At 35.7% G+C, this 26,709-nt stretch overlaps 1 protein-coding gene across 2 annotated transcripts in view; it reads left to right on the top strand.

Moving 5' to 3' along the window:
* The window catches only part of CNTNAP2 (contactin associated protein 2), a 2,304,198-nt gene that overhangs the window by 902,181 nt on the left and 1,375,308 nt on the right, over positions 1 to 26,709 (top strand). For both annotated transcript variants that reach the window (NM_014141.6, XM_017011950.3), the window contains exon 4: positions 24,926 to 25,073. In NM_014141.6, the coding sequence (NP_054860.1) occupies positions 24,926 to 25,073 (148 nt within the window). The remainder of the gene's footprint in view (positions 1 to 24,925; positions 25,074 to 26,709) is intronic.

The raw sequence follows: 26,709 nt of genomic DNA on the forward strand, positions 1-26,709 counted from the left end.
ACAAATCTCTTTTCAGTGAGTAATATCAAAATTATCTCTGTGTAAGAATGCGTGATAAGAATCAGGACCCAAAGAGTTAAAAAATATAGTTTATGGAAATCATTATTTGTTGTTTTAGTAATCCCTACATTTTCTAAGTAGTACTGAGAGTTTGTTGTCCAATTGGAAATTCACATTTAAAACTCTTAATCTCAAAAAATATATCACTAAGGAAGTAATTATCTTCTCTCAAGTGCAGCCAGTTTAGCTGAGTGTCAAACAGCATTTCTACATATTATTTTTCTCTGGTGTGGTGCTGTCTCCTTGGGCTTGTCTTATAAGTTGTTTCACGCTTTAACACTCAATAAATGCATGATAGTTGACCGAATGTTAACTTATGATATACGACATTTTTCTCTAGATGTCTCCCAAGTTGGGAGTACTACCAAAATAATTCCCCAAAAAAGCAAAAATAAACAAACACAAAGTAAATTCAAACAAAAAAAGGCCCTGCATCAGTATCCATATAACCTTCCTAGAAGGGCTTCCTTTATAGGTTAAATTTTAATTGTGTTTGGTGTTGTGGGTAGAGCTGTCAGTATTGGAATATTCATCAGGATCTTGATATTAAGGACTTATTATTTATTACTTTATTTTATGCTCAATGACCCTTCTGCCTATTGCATGTAAGGCAGAAATCTAGGTAGAAGGAATGCAGGTGAATAAAGATGGTTAGTCCCTAGTCAACATGGTTCAAACATAATATGAGAATAAAACAAGTGTGTGAATCTTTACAGTACAAAGCAGAAAGTACTTTGTGTAATAATGATGTTTCAGAGCAGGAAGAACTCACAACTAATTAGTTCTAATCAAAATTGGGGTATAAAAGAGATAGTTGCTGATAGAGGTCATCAATGATACATAGAATTTAGCTAGAAAAAAAATAAGTGGACAGAAATGTCCTGGCTATAGCAGGTAGCGTGAGAAAATGAAGAATATAAAACAGGATTAAGACAATGGAGTAGTATAGATATAGTATGGTATGGTATGGTATGGTATAGTACAGTACAGAATAGATATAGTATAGTATAGTACAGTATATTAGTATAGTATAGCTATAGTGTAGTATAGATGAAATACATAATGTTTGTAGGTGATTGTAGTTGATTGGGAAAAATAGATTTTGCACATATCATAGATGATCCCAAATCCTAGGATGAGCTATTACACTTGATGCAATCATCACCAACATACCAGTGAAGGCTTCTATTTATATAAGCTGTTTAAAAATATTTAATAGAATCTATTTTTGAATATCTTTCTGTTGTTCTATAGACTTTATTGAACTAGTGTGGAACTGGATTTTGAATGCCTAATTAGGATGAATTTCATAACACAATAGAAAGGCTACAGGGTTAAAGGGTCTAGTCTGGAATGATAGATGCGCACAAATTATGTCTTGACCTTGATTGTTAGTTGTCTTATTGAAACACTGTACAGCTCACAAAACCACTGGGCCCCATATCTCCTTGTTATATGGAGTTCTCCTTTATTTGAGTTGATCCACTTAATGCTGTCATCTGGAGGAAAATACCAGACTGCCACACTGTGCTGCATTCTTAGTGCATTTGTTGTTATTCATATACACTCCGTAAGGCCCAGTTTGATAGGAAATTTAGACCAATGAAATAACACAGCTCACCTCCTGACTCCTATAATGACCCAGGAATATTGTGTCATCAACAACAGGTTTTCTAAATAATATTGCCTTTAAAAATACTTTTTAAAATATATCAGGGGCTTGGAAGTTTGAACATAGTTTCAGAAGTCAATTGAATATTTCCTTCATCCCAGCATAAATCCAGGAAAACAGAGAAAGGCATGGAGTGGGATACACATAGTCAGAGAACACTAAGGTTGGGCAACAAAGAAAGAATGTAGTTTCATGTTCTTAGAAATATTATTATTAAGATGCATTTCTTGTTACCATTTTTCAGTATTTTGTGATTAAAATAAATGAGGCAACCCAGTACCCGAGGTTTTGGATGCATGCTTTTGATAAAAATCCTGAAACGAGTACATGATTACATAAGGAATCACGCAAGTTCAATGAGCATCCAAAAGTCCCAGAACGAGCTTGTCCAGCCCAGGGTACGCAGGCTGCATGCAGCCCAGGATGGTTTAGAATGTGGCCCAACACCAATTTGTAAACTTTATTAAAACCTTATGATTTTTTTTGGCAATTCTTTTTTAGCTCATCAGCTATCATTAGTGTGTGTATTTTATGTATGGCCCAAGACAATTCTTCTTTCAATGGGCCCAGGGAAGCCAAAAGATTGGATGCCTCTATTCTAGAAGCTGATTCACTCTCAGCATCCCACATACTCCCTTGTTTTTTATTACATATTCTATAGACATCATTATTTCATAGGTCCAATTAAAATGCTCAGGGCTTTTGTTTTGTTTTTTAGCCAGTTCTTTGTATGATATATTTCTCAGACTACCACTATCCTGATCAGTGTAAAAGATAAGACTATTATTCCCCTTAGCATGAATATTTTGTTTCTAATAATTTGCTCTAAGGTCAAAATAGTGTTGTCATGTGTCTCACTTCACTCACTTTTCTCACAGTTATAAAACAACCTCAAGGTTTCTCCAAATCAAGCTGTTCTTACAACAATTTTCTTCCTCCTCCTACTGGTTTAATTCACTTTGGAACTTCAAGATATTTACACAAATATTCAACAAACTTAATCTTATTATGTTTTACCTCCTTGTGGTTTTTGTTATTTCCAAATGTTGCCTCAGTCATGTAACACCTTGTTTTTCTCCTAAGCTTTTAACCCCTTGAACATTTGATAACAATTTCTTATTTGCATTCATCAAACATAAATCAATTTTTGACCCATAGAGGGTTAAAGATAGAACACTCCAATCATGAAGGACACTCATGTACTTGACATTTATGTATTTATAAATATATTTTAGGTATGGCTATGCAACCCTATTTTCTCTTATTTTTTATTTTTTGTCATGAAAATATTTTTCAAGTTTTTCTTATTTTTATATATATGAAATATTCTATACTCTTTTGGCCACTTTAGCTGTCCTGTAGACCCTATCTAGACCTTCCGGAGTTTTGCTATTTCTTTGTTGCAGATTGTTGACCAGAATTACAAACAGTATCTCATAGAAACACTGATTTCTACAAAGTGAGATAAAGCTTCCCATTTTATTTCTTTGGTCTGATTTCATTGTAAGAGTTCAGTGAGTCATTGCCTGCCAGGAGTCATCTACAGTGAGTCCTAGATCAGTCCACAGCTGTGACGAGTTCACTATTCCAGAAATACAAGTTTGAAGAACTTCCTACCCAACCCTCCCTTAGAAAATTACCCAAAATTGATCATGTAAAGCCCACTTTCTGCTTCTCCATATTCATTTTTATGGCAAAGTTTCCCCACTGGCCTGGATTTTCACTATGCAGAAGTGTTCAGGGTTATCTACAAACATAATACCTAAATTGTATATATTTATAACACATATATATGTACTCTATATACACATATATTGTACTATATATGTGTTTATGTACTATACATATACGCACACATGTATATGTACTATATATACACATACACAAACACATGGTTTTTTTTTTTTTATTACTAACCTAAATATAAAATAAGATCTCTGGAGAAAATTTTGTTAATGTGTTTCCATCATGAAAACACACAATAAACTTGTTTATTGTTCTATCTATAACAAAATATTTAAACTACTTTTATCCCAATTCGAATATCATTCTTGTGGAATTTGCCAAAGTATTTTTTTCCTTCAAATTGGAAAACAAACATGGGACTCTTCTTGGGAGATATTTATATTCTTAATCAAAGAACTTCATTATATTCATCAAACACCACAGCGCTGGTCACTTACATCTGTCTAATGAATTATATTTGGTGTTCATTGACTCTATTCTTTTTAATAGAGGTCATGGTTTGTTATCTATGGAACCGAGAATCATTAATCATGACTTGGAATTAATTTGAAGAGATGATTTTTAAAAACTTGTCATAGGCCTGCCTTTTGCAGTACAGGGTTCAGGGTTCCTTGCTTCATGATAAACATTTGCATAAAAGATTGAAGCTTTTAGAACCTTATCGTGTTGTTCAAATTTAGGGATATTAAAAGAGGAAGAAGCCTGAGATGAACACGGGCACGGCAACTGATAGCTTCATCCACTGAAGAGGGATTTTCCAGTTGCATGCTTGTTTCTCTCCCTACATGTGCTAACATTTGTTTAGAAATTTTATATTATGTTGAGACTAAAAAAAATCAACTCTGAGGTATAAATTTTGATAGTGCAAGGACCCATTTATCATGCTTGACATATAATCTTTTAAATTAAATTTTTATTGTGCAATGATTACAGTTTCACCTTTCTTTGTAAGAAGACTTTAGAGAGATGCCGTGTATCCTTTTTATCCAGTCTCCTCCAATGGCATCTTGTAACACTAGAGTCACCACCAGTATATTCACTTTGATGCTTTAAGAATACAAAATACTTCCATCACCACAAGGACCTCTCCTGTTGTCATTTTGTAGCCTCACATACTTCCACTTGTATTCCTCCTCAACCCCTAGCAACCACTAATTTCTTGGCATCATGAACCAGAGAATTTATTCATCACTAAATCTGTTCTGCCAGGATCTGCCACTCTTCAGCCAAAACTCCTAGTTACTCCTGATGACTTCTAGGCATCTGCCCTCCTTGGGCATCAAGTTTACTGCCAGTTGCCTTCTGAGTCACCTGCAGTCACCACTGGAGATGTAATTGAGTCCTCATGTGCCAAACTTATTTGGTTTTCACCTTAAAATTATTTTTTAAAAGACTATTATTCCCACATTTTCCCTCTACACTTGGTTTACTAATTTGCATGTGTAGTTTATAGGGCCAAGCTGGCAATAAGTTACTGTTATACTCCTCTCTTTATTTCCCGAATCTCCTATTCATGTTCCAGTTTAAACTCAGCTGGGAACACCTTGTCTCATTCAGAACTTAATCACAGTCTTTAGATATAGTCTTTTTTGTTTTCTTTATATGCTTATTATTAACATGTAGTATCCAGTATCTAATCCAGTAACAGTCACAAATTGGCCCATCAGTGGCAAGAAATTTAAAAAATGGACACTATAGTGAGGACTAAATTCAAAAATGACAGCCAAACTGGATTTTCTCAAGCACATTCTGCTAATTTGTATTACGTTTAAAGAGAAAAAATTACTTTTGGGTAATTGAACATCTATATCGCAATTGCAATGGTGGTTACACGAATCTATGCAACTGGTAAAACCTGTTTATAACAAAAAAAAAGTACATAAAAACTAGTTAAATCAGAATAAAATCTGTAGTTTAGTTAATTTTATTGTGACAATGCCAATTTTCTGGCTTTCATGATTGTACCGTATCGTGTAGAATGTTATTATTGGAGGAAACGGGGGAAGGTTACATAGGAACTCAACTGTATTAGTCCATTCTTACATTGTTGTAAAGAAATATTGAGACTGGGTAAATTATAAAGAAAAGAGGCTTAATTGGCTCATAGTTCCACAGGCAGGTGAAACTGTAATCATTGCACAATAAAAATTTAATTTAAAAGATTATATGTCAAGCATGATGAATGGGTCCTTGCACTATCAAAATTTATACCTCAGAGTTGATTTTTTTGGTCTCAAAATGATATAAAATTTCTAAACTAATGTTAACACATGTAGGGAGAGAAACAAGCATGCAATTGGAAACTCCCTCCTCAGTGGATGAAGAGGAATCATGGTGCTAGCATCTGCTCAGTTTCTGGAGAGGCTTCGGGAAACTGTCAATCATGGCGGAAGGTGAAGGGGAAGCAGGTGCTTCTGATGATTGGACTAACAGGAAGAGAGTAAGGGGGAGGTGCCCCACACTTTAAACAATCACATCACGTGAGAACTCACTATCGCGACCAAGGAGGATCTTGCTAAACCATTAGAAAGCACCCATATGTGGCTGGGCGCCGTGGCTCAAGCCTGTAATTCTAGCACTTTGGGAGGCTGAGGCAAGTGGATCACTTGAGGTCAGGAGTTCAGGGCCAGCCTGACTTACATGGTGAAACCCCATCTCTACTAAAAATACCAAAAAATTAGCCGGGTGTGGTGGCACGCCCCTGTAATCTCAGCTACTCCAGAGGCTGAGACAAGAGAATCGCTTGAACCCGGGAAGCGGATGTTTCAGTAAGCCGGAATCATGCCACTGCACTCCAGCCCTGGAAACAGAGTCAGACTCTGTAAGAAAAGAAAGGAAAGGATAGGAGAGGGGAGGGGTGGGGGGCAGGGAGAAGAAAGGGGGGAGGGGAGGGGAGGGGAAGGGAGGGGGATAGGAGAGGGGAGGGGAGGAAGGGGAGGGGGAAGAAGGGGGAGGGGAAGGGGGAGGGGAGGGGGAGGGGAGGGGAGGGGAGGAGGGGGAGGGGAGGAGGGGGAGGGGGAGGGGACGGGAGGGGAGGGGAGGGGGACGGGGAGAAGAAAGTGGGGAGGGGAGGGCAAGGGCAAAGAAACCTCCCATATCATCCAATCACCTCCCACTAGGTCCCACCTCCAACGCTGGGAATTACAATTCCATATGAGATTTGGGCAGGGATACATATCCAAACTGTATCATCAACTATTTTTGCAACTACTATGTGAGTCTAAAATTATTTCAAATTAAAAAATAAAGGCAAAACCCATCAAACTTACAGATTATTATGTGATTTAAAGTTCCTATCTCTCTCATTCTGTATGTGTGTGTATACATTACACGTATATATCTCAGATAGCTAAATGCATGTGCTTGTTTGACATACAGGTGTGTTGCTGTTGTTTTTTTTTTTTTTAAATTTTTATATATTTTTTAATTTGTTGAGATCACCCAAGGTGAAATGCAGTGACACGATCTGGACTCACTGCAACCTCCGCCTCCTGGGCTCAAGCAATTCTCATGCCTCAGCCTCCTGAGTAGCTGGGATCACAGGTGTGTGCTACCACGCCTGGCTAATTTTTGCCTTTTTAGTAGAGACAGGGTTTCACCATGTTGGCCAGGACGGTCTGGAATGCCTGACCTCAAGTGATCCACCTGCCTCAGCATCCCAAAGTGCTGGGTGCCACCGTGCCCAGCCTGACATCGTTTTTATGGATTTCAAAATATAAATGTATTTACATTGTTTGAAAGTTCATAGTGTATATAAAATTGAAGATAGGATCCTGAGATACGTATGAAAGCATTATAATGCACAGGTGTTTGTGTGAAACATAGATTGTATCTGAGGAGAAAGAAATGACAGTAGAATACTAATATCAAAAATATATAAATAAGATGATAGGATCCCAAAGTATAATTTTGTTTGCTTTTTAGACTAACAAAATATTACCACATCTAAATAAATGAAAAACATGAATGACATATGCTTTTTCCATCGATTTAATTTTTGTTAACAAATATAAAATGTTTTAGAATTTTACTTATAGAATTCAAAAATGTTTCCTTCATATTTATAATAATACTTAAATATGGAAATGAATACATCATCTCAAATAACACTGAGTTCATTCTTGGAATGTCTTTTTTTTTTTCTGTTAGAGATTTTCTTTCATTTTCTTTTTATTTTTCCCCAGGATGCTATCATGCCTACGTTTCTCCTGGTTAGTTTCACAGGATATTTTCCAAAGAGAACTTGAATAAAACAGACTTGATTACCACTGTTTTATTCTCAAAATAAGCTAATGGCTATTAAGACTTGTTCCTTGATTTGAGGGGGCTTTTTGGTATACTTATTCAAAAAGGCAGATTCAAAATAAGCTCTCTACTTCTTTATTCCTCAGAATCTCTGTTTGTATGTAATTGGCTAACAAAACCCATTGCTTATTAGCTTTGTCTCAGTGCTAAAAAAAAAAAAAAAAGTCCTTAAAATTATTGCAAACCTGCATCTGTCACACCTGATTACTCCAGGAGGAAAAACAAAACAAAACAGAACAGAAAAAAAAAAAAACAAAAAAAAGAAAAAAAAAAACTTGCTTTGGATAACATTTTATGACAATAGCTTTGCATCAGGGGACTTACTTATCTTCAATGTGTGCTCTATTCCTCATGTCACTCTTTCTTCCCCTTAATTGAGGAAAATGTGTTCAGAAGTTAAAGTTGTGGCCATCTATTTAAAGTTTTATATTATTCAGCTTAGAAAACAAATAAAATTTTCATACGTACAAGGGAATATAGCATCACTCAAGTAATGCCCATCACATTGCACAAGAAGTGGATAATCTTTCATTACAAAAGAAAAGATGGAAACTGCATAGATCTTCTGTAAATCAGAAGCTGTATAACCAGCTACTTAACTCAAATTCTAAAAGCCACCTAATGTTTGTATGTGGATGACACCAATATAACAAACATATTGCTTCAATTAAGTCAATTATGTTAATTTGTTGAAAAGAATCTGTTAACTGAATCATTCAGTATCCCTTAAACAAAACATAGGGTGATAATTTTGCAAATTATTATTTCAACTTATTGAGTTGGCAACGTATGAACAAAAGGCAACCTGCATCTATGTTTTAGGATAAGTAATTAGGTTCTCACAGACTGAGATTTTCATTTAAAAAGATTTCCCTTTTGGACAGTTTATAAAGTGAATTGGAAGAGAGACTGGAAGCAGGGAGAGCATTCTAAGAGCTCTCAGGGGAGAAGGAGGGTTTGGCCAAATACAGTGGCCAGACTCGTGAAAAGCCGTTACTGGAGAGGCAGGACCTCCAGCACCTGGGACATTGTGAATGTGAGTGAGGAAGAACAAGAGCCATGGACATGACAGAGATTCTGGCTGGAGAACTAGGAGGATGGCAGCATCAGCAAATGGTGTGGGTGGAAAATAGAAAATAAACACAGTTTTGATGATAAAAAGGCATTTTGTTAACATCTTGTAGCCATTCAAATAAAGATGTTTAATAGAAAGTTGGAAATTCAGGCCTAGATCTCAAAATCCAACTTAGGGCTGGAGATGTGGATATGGGAATCAGTCTCCAATATTTAGATGGGAATGAGACCTCGTAGAAGGAGGTTGAGTTGAAAAAGTCAGCCGTTCTTGTCCAAGAATACAAATGGGATCACAGTCTCATGGAGAAGAAGGCATTACAAGAATACCAACTGCACCAAAAAGGTTCCTTAGGGTTAAAACTAATAAAGAAGGCTTAGATTTCACTTTATTAGTGCAGAAGACTAATTGTAGCACAGTAGAAGAGAGATGGAAATGAGCTTCTATCCTTGAAAGTTTGGATATGAAATTGTCTCTTCAAGAAGTTTGGGAGGTCAATACAAAATAATGCAATATTGTAACTGAAGAAGTGAGTTGGAAAGGTGAGTTAGTTAAAAGACATTTGGTGGAGTTTGTTTTCTTTATTTTTTCTCTGAAATCAAGACTTTAGGCTTGTTTCATTAAAAGAGTTGAGGCCGAGAGAGATGTTAAGGAATACAGGGGCACCGTAGAGGTATAGCTAATGGAACAAGGGAGAATAGAGTTAGATGAGAAGATGGGATTAAACAGCCCGAGTAGGATTTGTCCCCTGTTAGACTGTAGAAGAAGGCCAGTTGGGTAGTAGACTGTGGCTAGACCACACTTTATTAATCCGTTTGTCAGTAAATACACATTTGAGATATTTCTAGATTAGACTGATTATGCATAAAGCTACCAGGCTCTCAGGAGGTCAGAAAATAAATCTAGGTAGTGAAGGAAACAGATAATAACAAAATAACAGGAATAAGCAAAATATTCCTGTTGAACTTACATTTGAAGACAAAAAAGCAGATGATGTCACTTGTGAGAAAGTAGCGAGAACAGCATGACCTTTAATAATCCATAGAAGAAGAAGAAAAATCCAATGAAGATAAAGGAGAAGCAATCACAGATCAAATAGACATATGCAAAATAAGATATGTTCTTTTTTTTTTTTTTTTTTTTTTGAGACGGAGTCTCGCTCTGTCGCCCAGGCTGGAGGGCAGTGGTGCGATCTCGGCTCACTGCAAGCTCCGCCTCTCGGGTTCACGCCATTCTCCCGTCTCAGCCTCGCGAGTAGCTGGGACCACAGGCACCCGCCACCACGCCCAGCTAATTTTTTGTATTTTTAGTAGAGACGGGATTTCACCATGTTAGCCAGGATGGTCTCCATCTCCTGACCTCATGATCCACCCGCCTCGGCCTCCCAAAGTGCTGGAATTACAGGCGTGAGCCACTGCGCCGGGCCTAAGATACATTCTTGAGTGAGAAAGATTCCAGGAGAAGATGACTAAGGGAGATATTCAAGAAGAATTTTAAAAAAGATTATTTCATTATCATCAGTTACCTCATTATCATCAGTGATTTTTCTGATTTGATTTGAAAGAAGAAACAGCAACGAACAAATTGCTAAAGTTTAAGAGAGCATGGAAGAGGAGGGAAAAACTGAGCAAACACCATCTATTAGAGAAGTTTTGCAGTGAAAGGGAATAGAAAACCAGACAGTACAAATGGAGAAACATAATGTAAAAAGGGTTTTTTTTTTTTCTTCCCAGGAAAGATGAAATCCAAATATATTGGAAAAAATGGCTTCTGTAGACCCAAGAATTGTCACTTATTTTAGCTCTTCTATATTTTGAAGAAACATTACCTGGTATTAATCATCCAATAGATAATAAAAATGGAAGCATATGAAATTGAGGAAGAGTAAAATTGTTAATGCTCAAATCAGACATTACATTTAGTATTAGAATTATTAATATTTCATGGCATAAATTTATCCAACTAAAGAATTTCACATTTTGAAAAAGATAAAATTGAAAGATGGTAATTTACCTTGCTATCACAAATAATTCTCACATTAACTAAAACTTGATAATTTTGTTGATTGTATGCTTATAAAAAGCTCTTGGTTCCACATTCAGAAAAATATTTTATCCCAAGTACTTTCCAAAGAGTATATCATCATATTTGCTGCCATTAATACTTAACAAATACCTGCGAAAAGCAATGGTTTTGGAGGGTAACCTGAGGGCAGTATAATCTATCTGTTCTTCTAGATACTGTAAACAATTTCTAGAGTAAGCTTGTCAGTAGGGAGCTGAATATCTATCTGCATCAAAAGTGTTGGTTACTGCTATAAATTTGTGTTTACTGAGCTGAGGTTTGGCATTTTTCCATGGGGCTACATTGAGGAAAACTGTAATGTATTTCCTATGAAATTTGTTGCTGTTTTTATATGGATTTTCTTGAACACTTCATTCTTTATGTAGCATAGTTTCTTTTATGTGAGGATTTGGGAAGTTTCTTTCTGGGCTCAGTACCTTGAGTATTATGCTTCTGCAAGCAACTGGTTAGATTTTATTTAAGATGAGCCTTGAAACTAATTCTGTCTGCATTTATGTGATATGCCAGAAATTTTAAAGCCAAATTTTTAGACACCCTCCTATGCAACAATTGTTTTTGGTTTTTCATATTTTTATCAAGCTAGTACATAGATAAGTATTTTTAATCAATTTGTAGAGAAATAAGTTCATTTAACGGTAAAGTTCTTTTTCCCCAATATCTTCTTATTTCCTGTTCCACTCTCCCTTTATACTTTTATATCAATTTGTTCGCTTATAAATGTAGAATTTGCCTATTGGTTAATGACTTCTTGGGTCAATTACTAGTTAGCTGACTTACTTTTCCACACATCTGACTACTTTTAGAAGTTATATTAAGGCCAGGCATGATGATTCATGTCTGTAATCCTAGCACTTTAAGAGGCCAAGGTGGGAGGATTGCTTGAGCCCAGGGGTTTGAGGCTGCAGTGAGCTGTGATTACACCACTGCACTTCAGCCTGGGCTACAGCGCAAGACCCTGCCTCAAAAAATATATATAATAGATATTTTTAATTCTCTATTGGTTAATTTTATTACATTTAATAATATACTTACAAATAGGTCTACTCTTCTGTCAAATTTTGGTAATATAATTTGACTCTTCACTTGGAAGATGAGTATATTATTTACCACATTATTTCTTCTACATTTTCGTATCCATTTCTACCTCCAAACCTCTGCTTCTTAGGTTGTATTTTAACATTGCCAAGATTGATAATGTTAGATTTGTATTTCTGTTTGTCTAAATATTTATTTAACATATCACAAAATGGATAGCATTTATCTAATTATTTTCATCCTTTCTTATGGCTTGACATGAAGGATAAAGAAAAAATTATAGGAGGTTTGGAAAGAAAAATAATATATTTGAGTAAAATTTAAAATAGATTTCTGATGCTATATTAGATTATCATCTGAAAAAATTTATTTGTCAATATCTTAGAAATTCAAATATGCATCCATTATATAATCCAGAAATTCTTCTCCTAGGCATTTGTAACAAATGCTCACAGCAATTTTATTTGTAATAGTAAAAAAACCTGGAAACATCCCAGTATCTATCAATACAAAAATGGGTACAGGTTATAGTAAACTTAGACAATGAAATAGTACACAGAAAAATAGAAATGTGCTACTGATAATAACGATATGAGGGAATCTTAACAAAATTGTTCTGAGTGAAAGAAGCCAGTGATGTTTGATTACTTTATTATGAAGTTCAAGAAAAGTCACAATTGGCTGGGTGCAGAGGCCCATGCCTGTAATCCCAGCACTTTGGGAGGCCAAGCTGGGCAGATCACTTGAGGTCAGGAGTTCCAGACCAGCCTGGGCAATGTGGTGAAACCTCATCTCTACTAAAAATACAAAAATTAGCCGGGCGTGGTGGCCTGTGCCTGTAGTCCCAGCTACTCAGGAGGCTGAGGTGGAAGAATCACTTGAACCTGGGAGATGGAGGTTTCTGTGAGTTGAGACCATGCCACTGCATTCCAGCCCGGACAACAGAAAAAGACTCTGTCAAAACAAAAGGCAAAATTAACTATGGTTATAGAAATCAGAAAAGTGTATACACACGGTGAGGAGTGGCATTAATTGAAAAGAATATTGACTGAGGGGATTGATGAGACTAATTTCTGGGATAATAAAATGTTCTATATCTTGATAGGGAGTGAGGGTCACGTGAGTGATCACATTTCTCAAAACTAATCAAACTATTCACTGGTTTTCAGTTTACTGTATTAAAAATTATTATCATTCTTTTTAAAAAAATGACGTATTGCTCCCTGAACAGTCTGCAGTTTCACTGAGAGATCAAATAGTAAACATTATAATTTTACTATTCATTATAAAATGTATTATGATATAGGTAAGCACAGAATTTCAGAATGAGCATCAAGTAACCCCACTATGCATTTATCAAATCTGTTTCACTTTCCTTCTGTGGCACATATTCCAGTCTCTTGGACACTAAGGTTAAGATCAATATGATACATGACCAATGGAATGTATGCAGAAGTGATATTTTCTTCATCAAATCTGGCCATAAATCCTAAGTTCATTCCTATATGTTTGTCTTCTGTTTCTGTGGTGGACTTGAGAATCAGATGTTGATGACAAAAACCAAATGAAGTGAGCCCGGATCCCTGAATGACTATGTGGAACAGTGCTCCTCTGTCCTTTTCTTTCTATACTGAAATGTGATGTGGGCAAAAATCAATCATGTATTATAGTAAAACGCTGGAAAGAAGGAAACAAGAAAGGAGGGGAGGAAGGAAATAAAGAAGAAAAGAAAGATGGAAGGAAGGAAAGAAAGAGAGAAAAAAAGGAGAGAGAAAAAGGAAGGAAGTTGGAGAGAAGGAAGAAGAGGGAGTCAGAGAGTAAGAAAAGAATTGATGGTTCTTCTGCCAGTGACTTAGACTGGAGATAAATAAACTATGGGAGGCAATAAAGCCATTAAAAAGACAGTCCACTTGTTGAGTAGGCTGAGAACAAATGATCACAAAGAAGGAAACCTATTGAATACCATCATCATGTGATGCCCCTAAAGAATAAAGAGAAGGAATCAAGAATCAGATTTTTAAGATTTTACTTTATTAATTTTCAAAGTCAAATTATTGCTTGCAAAATAATGCTGTTCTTAATGCTTCTAGTACGATTATTCTAAAATGCTTTCACAACATTGACAACATTAAGAAGACAAGATGTATTTATTTGGGTAAAGAGCAGTAGGGTCTAGAGAGGATATTGCTGCATATATATATATGTATATATATATATATATATATATATATATATATATATATATATGGAATATGTTGGCATGTCTCACAATGTTTGACATGATTTTGCAATAAAAAAGAGTGTATTTTTAGCATAGTTCAAGTGAATTACCCAAGTGAACAAGCTAAATTTGATTGGGGTGGGGGGTTAATTTTTACATCTCTCCTGGCAGTTCTCTCAAGATTTTTCCATGATTGTTTTCTTTTTATCCCATGATCTCTGACATCTAGCCACATTACATAATTATAACGACATCCCCCTACAACTAGGAAACCCTTACACATTACCCTGGTGTCTTTTTGAGTCAGTCTAGCATGCTCTATTTTTTTTCCTGTAAGATATTATCAAATATATGGTTTTTAACTACCAATGGTAATAGAACTGGTTTTTGTACATCCAGAAATAACAAGACCTATGAAATGTAGATAGATGGGAATTTGGAAATGCACATTTATATTCATTTACTTAAGCACATTTATTGACCACTGAACACTGTGGTCATCAGATACACAGGGACCAAAGAGGTATGGTCTGAAACCTCACAGCTGACTTACATACTTCTGAATCAGTTAGGGAGTTAATCAAAAACATAATGAAGTAATCACAATTGAGTGAAGAGGGGAAAAAAAAAAAAAAAACACAGGATGCTCTTGATACAGGCAAACTCCCAAATTGGGGCTTAGCCAGGAGAGTTATTGGCTTCATACAGGAAAGAACTCAAGAGTACACCAACAGAATAAAGTGCAAGCAAAGCAAGTTTATTAGAGTAACAGAGTAGGGAAAAACGGCTGCTCCATAGACAGAGCAGGACATATGCAGAGTAGCACTTGTAGATTGCTGGCTAGCTATATTTATAGCTACTCCTTAATTATATGCTAAATAAGGGCCAGGTAATTCATGAATTTTCTAGAAAAGGAGTGGGGACTTCCTGGAACCAAGGATTCCTCTCTTTTTATACCATGTAAGGTAATTTCCGGGCATTGCCATGCCATCTGTAAACTGTCTTGGTGCTGGCAGGAGTGCCTTTTAGCAAGCTAATGAAATATAATTTGTGGATAACAAACAATGAGGACAACTAGAGGTTGCTTTCTTTGCCGTCTTCGTTTTAGCTTGTTTATTTTCTGCATTTGAAACAGGAGTTTTCCCTTTTCCTCTTCACAGGGCAAGTGATAGGGGTGTGGCTCACTTCTTCAGTGCTCCCCTGCTCAAACCCATAGGGAGAGCGTGCAGATGGGCATGTCATGGAGCTCAAACCCCATGGCGGTGTCTAGGGTTTAGTGTTTACAGCTCCTGAAGCCCTAGTGGGTGTGTGTTACCTTGTGCTCTCTTAGTTTTGCCATCTGCAGGTGGCTTGTGTTAATCGGTTCAATTAGACCCCCTGCCTTACTGCAAGGACAGAGAGCTTTCTGTACCCTGGGTTCTTGCCTTGGTGTATCAGAAAAATCGGATCACATGTGGTCTTCAAGAATGGGTGTAAGGTTTTACTGAATGGAGGCGGGTCTCAGCGAGGTGGATGGGGAGGTCAGAAGGGGGATGGAGTGGGAAGCTGGTCCTCCCCTGGAGCTGGGCCACCCAGCTGCCAGACTCTCCTCCAGCGTCCCTTGGCTGAATCCGGTGTGCTTTTCCACTCCTCTGCTCCTCTCGATGTCCAGACACTTGTGGCTGTGTCCACTAGGGTCTCAGGGTTTTTGTAGGCACAGGATGAAGGGTGTGGAGGGCCAGAGTGGTCTTAGAAAATGCAACATTTGAGCGCAAAAACAGAAATGCCTGTCTGCACTTAGTTCCGTGGGCACAGGCCCCAGGGTGGAGCCCCACCAGGACCCTGCCCTTCTCTATCCAGCACTTCTCTGCCCTCCTCCCATATCGCATTCTGTTTTGACCAGATCCTGCTTTAATCAGTAGAGTCCTGACTGGTGCTCAGAAAAAAAGTCCTGCTGATCTCCTACTATGAGGCACCCTATGGAACGAGGGGATTGAGGGGTGGCGAGGCAAGGTCCCTCCTGTCAGGAAGTGCTGTCTGAGCTGAGTCCTACAAGATGTGGAAGGCCAGCCAGATGAAACTAATGAGCAGAGACTCCAGGGGAAGAGGCCAGATTGGAAGGGTAACAGGTGCAGTATTTTATGAAGGTCCTTCTTATCTTCCTGCCTCAGCAGGGAATATAGCTAGTCCTGGAAACTCACATCAAGGCCGCAAAATGGAAAATCTATTTCTACATTTTGACATAAGTTGTTAGCATGGGGAAAATAAAATCTAAAATCTGGCAAGAAATAAAATTTCAATTAAAGGGAAGTGATTGTAATGATCACAGGTTTAGTATATTAACATAAAGAATAGTCAATATGTGTTTCAATGCCACAGAGTCATTTTATGTTTTAAGCAAGTAAGATCTCTCACTTTAGGGAACATTCACGTCATTCTCACATAAGTTCCCACCTATGAGACCTGTTGTCAGTAGCGAAAAGCTCTTCCTAGATTTAGTTACACAATAGCTAATTGTTTTAGGCACTTTTTTTTAGTCTTAAGTAAAACCTTTACATGAAGATACAGAGTCTCATTCATTCGCTATAGGAGCTTGTGATCTTTTATGTTAGGTCTCCTAAAAAGTGAGGATTTAGTTAGGAATAAATATACTTATTCTCATCATAAAATAATTTGTGTTACACTTCAAACCCCATAATAGTAAATTTGAGAAAAAAAAAATGTTAGTTCATGCATCATACATAGCATACTTCTAGTACTTTATATAGTCTCCTCCAGTTTGATAAATTATATTTTCCAAGTGATTACAAAATACTTTTCCAAAGTTTACTGGTTCTTAACTGTCAACTGGCTGGAAAGTCTTAGACTTGTGCATCCTGTCTAACTTGCAAGAAAGATTTAATTTCAAAGACTCTTAGTCCATGGGCTGGCAAACTGTAGCCCATGGGACAAATCTTGTCCACGCCTGTTCTTTTAAAGTTTGTGAGCTATGAATAATTTTTACATTTCACAAGTGTATTTTTTAAAAAAAGGAAGAATAATAATATGGGACAGAGGAGCATGTGACCTGCAAAGCCTAAAATATTTACTGTCTGGTACTTTGCAGAAATGCTTTGCTTCACTACCTCTTAGACCATCTGAAATATTGTTTTAGCTAGAAAAAACAGTGCACCTAGTGGAAAATTTTCAGTTATTAAAACTTCAGGGATGTTTATTCTAAAATTAACATTGTGGATGACTTACAATATGTTAAAAAAGTTCTAAATTTTGGTATGTATTTGTACAATTTATAAGACAAGAACTCTAAAAGTAGAACCATAGGTTTAACATTTTATTATATTGATTTTAACTTTCCTTAACATCAAGCTTTGTGAGATACATATATGCTATCTTAATTATAATAATAAACCCTATTCTAAGCATATATACAAATCACTGCCTCTAAGAGAGATTTAATAGCCAGAACATGAAATTCACAAGTTGTTGTAAATGGATTTTTTATTCTTTCAATGATAAATTTGGCTGGCATTTTTTATGTATCTGCAAAGCACTTGTATACTATTTGTCTAAATGAAGGTTTGATTATAAAGAGTATTGTTCTATGCAAGAAAGATTCAACTTTGCTTTAAGTTTTTAATTTTTGATGCAGGTTTCCAAATCTTAAAGATTGTATAAAAACTCAGCTGTGTATCTTTTTTTCCTTTTCACACCTATATGAAAAACTGTAAATGAGTTTTTAAAAGAGCCAAGTGATATGAAAAAATGCTCCTTTTCAAGACCTATGATAGTTTATTCTTTACTTTAGTATTTACTAAATAAGATGCCCCCTAGCTGACAAATTCTTCTTTCCTTTTAGGAAACAGTGTCATTCAAACTTTTAAATTACTTGTATTAAAACTGCAGAGGACTTTGGGTGCTGATAATCACAAAAGAAGCTTGATTTAGGTAAATGTGTGAGAAAACATAATATTATTGATTTTGTAAAAATTTGTAGAAATAAAAAATAAGGAGAGAAGTAAAATATGAACACTATATTAGATGTACTATCTAATAAATAGACCAGATATCAAATGTGTATCTAAAAAGTGATATGATAAAAAGCATCCATCAGACTTTAAATTTGATATTCAAATATATAACATTAAATATCAAAAATAAAATATATTGTATATAAATGGGAAGATATTTATTTCTAGTTGACAATTTGATTCTCAAATGAAGAGAGTGGAAGAACTTGTTACTTTGTCCCAAGTTTGTCTTTACTAGGTATTCGACATCCAGTTTTGTTTTTTTTTTCCCTTTTTTTTTTTTTTTTTTTTATTGAGATGGAGTTTCGCTCTTGTTGTCCAGGCCAGAGTGCAGTGGTGCGATCTTGGCTCACTGCAACCTCCACCTCCCAGGTTCAAGTGATTCTCCTGCCTCAGCCTCCTGAGTAGCTGGGATTACAGGTGCATGCCACCATGCCTGGCTAATTTTTTGTATTTTTGGCAGAGACGGGGTTTCACCATGTTGGCCAACTTCTCTGAGTCTGTTTCCTGATTTGAAAAAATAGCATCCCTGACAATTTTAGAGTTTTCTTTGAGGCACAAACAATACAGACTATACTAGAACCGTTTAAATAATAGATATATACATGTTAGACGTTGTTTTTATTAAATCAACGGCTACATCTCCTTTTATGTTTCCTACCTTATCAAATACTGATATTTATGGAGACATTTCACATATATTTACAGCTTTGTAATCAAGACAATCAATGGTTCACGCCTATGGTATTCTTTTGAAATATTTAAAGCTTCAGTTAGGAAAATGTCTTAAATCTCAATATGCTTGGATGAAAGAAGTGGAAAAATCACAATCTATTGGCACACACCTATAGTCCTAGCTACTCAGGAGGCTAAGGTGGGAGGATCGTTTGATCACAGGAATTCAAGGGTTACAGTTAGCTATGACTGTGCCACTGTACTCTAGCCTGGGTGATAGAGCCAGACCCTGTCTCTAAAAATAAAATATAACAATAAAAATAACAACAGAAGCACAAACTATTGATTTTGAGAATCCTGAAGAAAATATATAGCATGCATTTTTCCATAAGTAAAGCAAAGGCAAACCTTAGGTAAAGCACTATTATTCTAAACCTCAAATGTCCAATAACATCTTTTAATTTTGCTGGTGAAATCTCAAATGCAGTATATCTAAATCTTCACTAATTATCTTTCCCTTCAAATATTGTTGTATTAGTCAATGTTATTTCAGTTGCTCAGAAACAAACAAATAAGGAAACAGATCAAATAATCCAAAACACCTTAGCAAGCTCTGGATTTAGATTTCTCAAATGATGTCATCGCAGATGTGCTTACTTTGTCTTTCTCTGACTTCCACTCCTTTGTAATATCAAAATGGCCAACAGAAGCTCAGTGGGAAGAGCACCTCCATTCCTGCAGTTTTGTTTGTTTTCTTTTCACTCAGCGTGCATTGGAGATCCCAAGGTGTGGTAGCTGTCCTGCTGTTCTTCCACACCAATGTTCCAAACCTCTCCTCCCTGAACAACCTCTGAAGCACTTGTGGCCATATTATTTCATCTATCATTTTGTATTTTACATTATGCAATGGTCTTCTACTATCTTCTTGGGAATTTCTCTTTACTCAGAGAGGGGGATTTTAGTGCTTTCATTGTTAAAAATTATAAGATGTATAACTTTCTTGCTTAAAACTCTCTAGTAGATTTCCCTTCCAGCACACATAAATGAAATCTAGAGCGTGATCATAATGTACAGGCCCTCCTCATTCTGTCCTTGACCTCTCCATCTTCTCCCCTGTTCATTCCTTCTTCACACTCTTCCAACAATACTGACTTCCTTGCTACCCCCACAAACAGGCACAGTATGCTCATGCCATTTGCCTTTCTGGCCTTTGCATAAACGATATATGTAATTGTATAATTATAGGATTTACATATAAAAACATATATAACAATATGTACATATTACATATAACATAGTGTCAGTATTGTATGTGTAGGTATACATATATGTGTATGTGTGTATGTGTATATATATAGACACATATTCAGGTTCAGGAGTACATGTGAAGGTTTGTTACACAGGTAAACACTCATGTGACAGGGGTTTGTTGTACAGATTATTTCATCACCCAGGTATTAAGCCCAGTACCCAATAGTTATCCTTTCTGCTCCTCTCCCTCCTTCCACCCTCCACTCTCCAGGAGACCCCAGTGTCTGCTGTTTCCTTCTTTGTGTTTATTAGTTCTCATCATTTAGCTCCCACTTACAAATGAGAACATGTGGTATTTGGTTTTCTGTTCCTGCATTTGTTTGCTAAGTATAATAGACTCCAGCTCCATCTCATTCTTTTTTATTGCTGCATAATTTTCCATGGTGTATATGTAGCACATTTTCTTCATCCAATCTGGGTTGATTCTATGCCTTTGCTATTGTGAATAGTGCCAGAGTGAACATTTGCATGCATGTGTCTTTGTGGTAGAATGATTTATATTCCTCTGAGTATATTCCCCATAATGGGATTGCTGGGTCAAATGGTAGTTTTTCTTTTAGCTCTTTGAGGAATCATCATACTGCTTTCCACAATGGTTAAACTAATTTCCATGCTCACCAACAGTGTATAAGTATTTCCTTTTCTCCAAAACCTAAATGTAAAACCCAAAATTATAAAAACTCTGGAAGACAACCTAGGCAATACCATCCTGGACATAGGAATGGGCAAAGATTTCATGCCAAAGACATGAAAAGCAATCATAACAAAGCAAATATTGACAAATGGGATCTAATTAAACCTAAGAGCTTCTGCACAGCAAAAGAAGCTGTCAACAGAGTATAACAGACAATCTATAGAATGGGAAAAATATTTGCAAACTTTGCACCTGACAAAGGTCTAATATCCAGCATCGATAAGGAACTTAAACAAATTTACAAGAGTAAAACAACCCTGCTAAAAAGTGGGAAAAGGATATGAACAGACACTTTTCAAAAGTGGCCAACAAGCCTATGAAAAAAAGCTCACTATGTAGTTTAATAATATAAATGCCATGAAAACTGCAACTCTGTCTACATTGTTGATTTGAACAATATCTGCTACATAGAAGACTCTCAAATATCTCCTGAGTGAATGAAAGGTGAATGAATAAATACGTAAGTAAATGTATGAATGAAGCATTTTAGCAGAAGGGCTAAAACTGAGTCTCATTGAGTTAGGTGCCCACCCCTGGTGGTAGGGAGTAGTGTCTGCCTCTCTAGCATCATATGGATTAAGAGTGAATTTTTTTTTTTTTTTTTTTTTTTTTTTGAGACAGAGTCTGGCTCTGTCACCCAGGCTGGAGTACAGTGGCGTGATTTCAACTCCCTGAAACCCCTGCCTCCTGGGTTCAAGTGATTCTCCTGCCTCAGCCTTCCAAGTAGCTGGGATTACAGGCGTGCATGACCACACCTGGCTGATTTTTGTATTTTTAGTAGAGATAGGGTATCAGCATGTTGGCCAGACTGGTCTTGAACTCCTGACCTCAAGCGATCAGCCCACCTTGGTCTCCCAAAGTGCTGTGATTACAGGTGTGAGCCACTGCGCCTGGGGAAGAGTAGAATATTAAGAGTGAACTTTTTAAAGAAAAGCCAGATGCTATTACTCAAAGGGAAGAGGTTGCTGAGCAGTCGAGCAATAAATGTTCATCATATCTTTCCCTCTCTTCCCTTTTCTGTCACCAATGCCTGCACACTAATATCTTGGAATAGGTTGATTATATCTTCTACTCCCTTCTTTCAAGATGTTAATAATTCTTCTTTTGAAATATCAAATCTGTCTTTTATTTATTTATTGCCCCTACCACCACATTGGTGTTGACCTTCAATTACTTGTTGCTAATCTTCTTGCTCCCAGTATGATTTCCCATTACCCTGGATCTCATTAATATGGCTTTTATTGTTATTTCTTAACAACAAGAACAACAACAACAATACATGCTATATTATTTTGTCTCTAATCAGACAGAACCTGTTAAAAGATTTATGATTTTTTTCAACATAACTACTTTCTGCCAGTCAGACTTGTGTCTTTATTCCTATTCCTTGTGTATTCCTGAACACCCTTGGTTCATGTTTCCCGAGAATCTACAATCTTAGTTCAAAAATTCATTTTACCAATAAGCGCATCAAATCTTTTTGTGAGAGACATACAGGGGAAAGGAAAAGTATTTTTTTTAAGTCCTAGAGAGGCTACCCATACAAAGCAAAATTTCAGCATAACTATCCCTGGACTCTGGGTCTTATACCCTAGGTCTGAAATCCTCCTTTATGCCAACCTATTCTTCAATATATCCTAGCCCCTTTCTCTCTTGTCTTTCAAACACCACTCTGTCCTTCTATGCAGCTGAGCTCTAACTCTGTAGAATTTGCCTGATTACATAGCCTTCAGGGAACTCCAAATATCGGTAAAATTACTAGTTACGTAATGCACTTCCATAGTTCCTTTTAATGCTGCCTTTTGCAATATCTTTTTAGATTTTATTTTAGGCCTCATAAGACTGCAGATGTCTTAGAGACAGTGTTTCAGGAGAGATTTTTGTTGTTTTTCTAAATATTGACATAAAACCTAGCAACATGCTAAGCATATAGTTAATTTTCAAGTTGAAATTGTTTGGTGGCTTTTGTTGAGTATTATTTAAGATCATAAATTTTGGATTAACCCATATCCAATTGTAGATTTAATTCAAGTGATTTTGGTCAAGGATTCTAATTGTTCTTGCATTTGAAGCCAGAGAACCCAATAGAGATCTGAAAATATAGCCATGGTTTAATGGAATGCTTGTTTAGATTTTTAGATTCTTTGTAAAACTAACAGCTGGCTAGAAAAGTACCTACAAAGAAAATGTCTTTTTAGAAATTGTTTTTCTGATGAAATTTTGTCAACAAGATGCAATGAGGATGCTCTATTAAGTGTTAAAATTCAAGACATACTGCTCAAATAGTTTTGTTTTATGGATTACAGAAGTGTATGGCTATTTTTAAAAGGCAGTGGTAGTACGCAGCTCATTTGAGAAAACCAAGAAGAGCACAGCAGGAATCGTCACAGAAGAACATCCCAATTTTTAAAACATGTAATTGTCCATGTTATAGACTAAATATTATCCATTATGTGGATTGCTGGTACCATCTAAAGGTTACATAAAATTGTTTCAATGCGGAGGAAATCTTTCAGTATACTTCTCATAATTACTAGGCCTTACATTACACATTTTGTATTTCGGAGCGCAGGAATTTGACCGGGGAATGCGGGTTGGATAACAGATCTACTACAAACTTGCATTTGTGTTGCTTGGATGAACTTAAGCCAGTGCTTTCAATTCCGAAGCTACTCTGTATTTTTTTTTAATTAAAAACATCTCTCGCTCTTTACTTTGTATGAGTAGTCTAACTTTAAAACATCATTATTAAAGATAATTTTTTTAAAAGACAAAACTCCTGGTTTTAGATAGAAGCAAATTCAGTCCTTAGGCAAAGAAGACAACATACTAACAATGTAATATAATGCCTGTGTTGCATCTTTTCATGATTTAAAAAATAATTTTTAAAATTTCTATTTGTATGATTTTAAGATAATTTAAATCTGAAAGTTAATATCTTCTAAAAGATAAGGCTAAAACCTCAAGTTATCTATTATAGGGACATTTAGAATGCATATTTGTATGATTTTAAGATAATTTAAATAAATCGAAAAGAGAATATCTTCTAAAAGATAATGCTAAAGCCTCAACTTGTCTATTATAGGGACATTTAGAATGCATATATGAAGCTGAAACTGCTCATGTTTAAAATAGCACAAGCTTTCATTTATTTGAATTATATCTTCTAAAATATAATAGTTTCTTTCTTTAAATCTTCCTTGAATTATAACTTTATACTGACATTTTCTTTTTCATTAGATGGTAATTTTTTGAGAGTCGAGTCTATGGTTTCACACATCCTTGAATATCCCATATTATCTTGCTCTAACTTATGAAATAGATAGTTTGTAAATCCTTGTTGAATGATCGTTATGTATGCCTCCCAAAAAATCCATTTGTTCTCCGCTGAGAGGAAAAAAATAAAAAATAAAATTAAAAAAAAAGACAATGTGAACTTTCAGTATCAGATAAAAATTCATGGATAATTATTCTTTTGACAGAATCTTCTATAATGAAAAAAACTGAATTAACATGTTTCTGATCCATTGAACAAATTCTCTAAATGTGTCTACTCCAATAAAAGGTAGAAAACCCTGACCTCTTCACAACGTGTTCAATTGTTCTTCTTCTCTCACTAATGTTGAAATGTTATCTTTAAATTTCTAATGGTTTTATGGGAGAAAATGTGGAGGAGAATTTTAGAGAGCAAGACATATGGTTAGATGCTATAAAAATCATTTATTGTATAAATTAAATGCAAAATATTAGAACTCATTTCAATGTGTATGGAACACAACAGTGGATGCCATTTAGTCTTTCATTCTTTTAACGTATGTTTACATGGATGAAAAGACCCACAGAAAATCTGACCTGTTTTCCACTTAAAACTGGACCTATTTTCACATTAAGAGTAAGGAAGCAGCTTTCTTCAAATTATTTACGGTGTAAGAAATCACAAGCCCTACCATTGGATGACATTTGTGTTTATTCTAGTAGACAGAGGACATGATTGTTTCTAAAGTATTTTTCCCAATTTTTAAAATACTATTTCCTTTTCCAGGCATTTCCCGGAAACATTAACTCTGACGGTGTGGTCCGGCACGAATTACAGCATCCGATTATTGCCCGCTATGTGCGCATAGTGCCTCTGGATTGGAATGGAGAAGGTCGCATTGGACTCAGAATTGAAGTTTATGGCTGTTCTTACTGTGAGTATCGTATTGTTTAAATTTGTGGCAGGTTTTATCTTTATTTAAATAGTAAGCTGTTTTATTTTAAATTATTTAACATTACTTGCTTTCTCTGACAATAAACTACCTTCTCATTTACATATATATGTATCTATGCATAGATACATATATATATAATAAAAGGTTGTGTCTCTATTTGCATGTTATAAATGTATATTATAAACACGTACAGAGACTGACATGTCATATATCTTAATTATACTTTAGGTTGAAGATTTGGAAAGGTTTTTTTTGTTCAATAGACTAAATAATAAAGCTTATTAATAAAATTGCCTTGCCTTATGAAATATTTAAAAAGGGGAAACCTATATTGTTATCTATGTATTTGGGTCTTTATTATGGGTTTTGAAAACATTTCGAAGAACTTCCTTCGGGTTCACTAAGTATCTCTCTTCAGTTATGCCTATTCCTATACTAAAGCCAATCACTGGGTTTTAAAGTCAATGACGCTTTCTCTACCAAATTTAATTTATTTTTTCAAATTGATTTGGTCATCTAAAGAGGTTATTTTCCCTTAAATATATTTTAAAGCTCCCTTGTTATTTCTTAAATACATTATGCATATATCTAAGGATTCCAACATATGAATTTGGGGGATTATAATTCTTCTGTCTATTGTTGCTGCTAATTTTTGCAAATGGTACTTGTTTTCTCCTACTCCTCTTCCTCTCTCTTTTTCTTCTTATCTTGTTTGCCTGTCTGTCCTTTTTATCCTTATCCTTATGCTTATCCATATTCTTTACTGTGACCTCAATTTCTTTAAAATTTTATCTGTGGAAATTTGTTTGGGCCAAGGTTGATGGTGAATTCTTCTTGAGAGGATATATCTTTGCTTATTTGCTTCTGTGAAGGCGATACCAACACAGAACTGCTTTCAAGATTATCTCCAGTTGTGGTTGTTGTTTCTTTATGAGACTGCTAGATAGTATAAATTTAATCTACGAACACGTGATTTGCAAACATTGGCTTCAAAATATGAATTCCCTAGTAAAATATACTTTCCTCATTCCCGGAAATTTTTCTTCCAGCTGTTACAATTCCCTGGGGGAACAAAGATGCTGGGTATGAACAAGGAGGGGATTTGGTTTCTCTATGTTATGCAAAAAGTCTCTTATTAGCCCGTTTCCTACTCATTCCTATAAACCCACAAAAATGAGTTCACACTAAGCAGAAAATTTCAAATGCCCCCGTTGGACAAGCTTTCTAAAATGCCCTAGACACTTAGTATTTTATATAAAAGAATATATGAAGCTTTCACCTCTGTACACATTTAGTAACAGAAATTGGTCAAAATATTAGCTATAATAGTGCCCGAATACTGTCTTATTAATTCATAGGCAATAGTGTTATGTGCAAACTACAATAAAGGGGTCATGGAGGTCATTTAAAAATTCTCAAAAACTGTTTATTTGGTTACCATTTTATTGTAGCAGATAAAATTAGTAGAGAGACAAAAGATTTAGCTCTTCAGGAGAATGTAGCTCTTTAAAAGGAAAATTTAGCATTTCTGGTAAGGCCCAAAAAGAGGTCTAACATAAATTAGAATCTTTGGTCCTATGTGGTCTAGACATTCATGAACAGAGTGTCATGTTCA

The sequence above is a fragment of the Homo sapiens genome, chromosome 7 (assembly GCF_000001405.40).
Source record: "Homo sapiens chromosome 7, GRCh38.p14 Primary Assembly".
Taxonomy (NCBI): domain Eukaryota; kingdom Metazoa; phylum Chordata; class Mammalia; order Primates; family Hominidae; genus Homo; species Homo sapiens.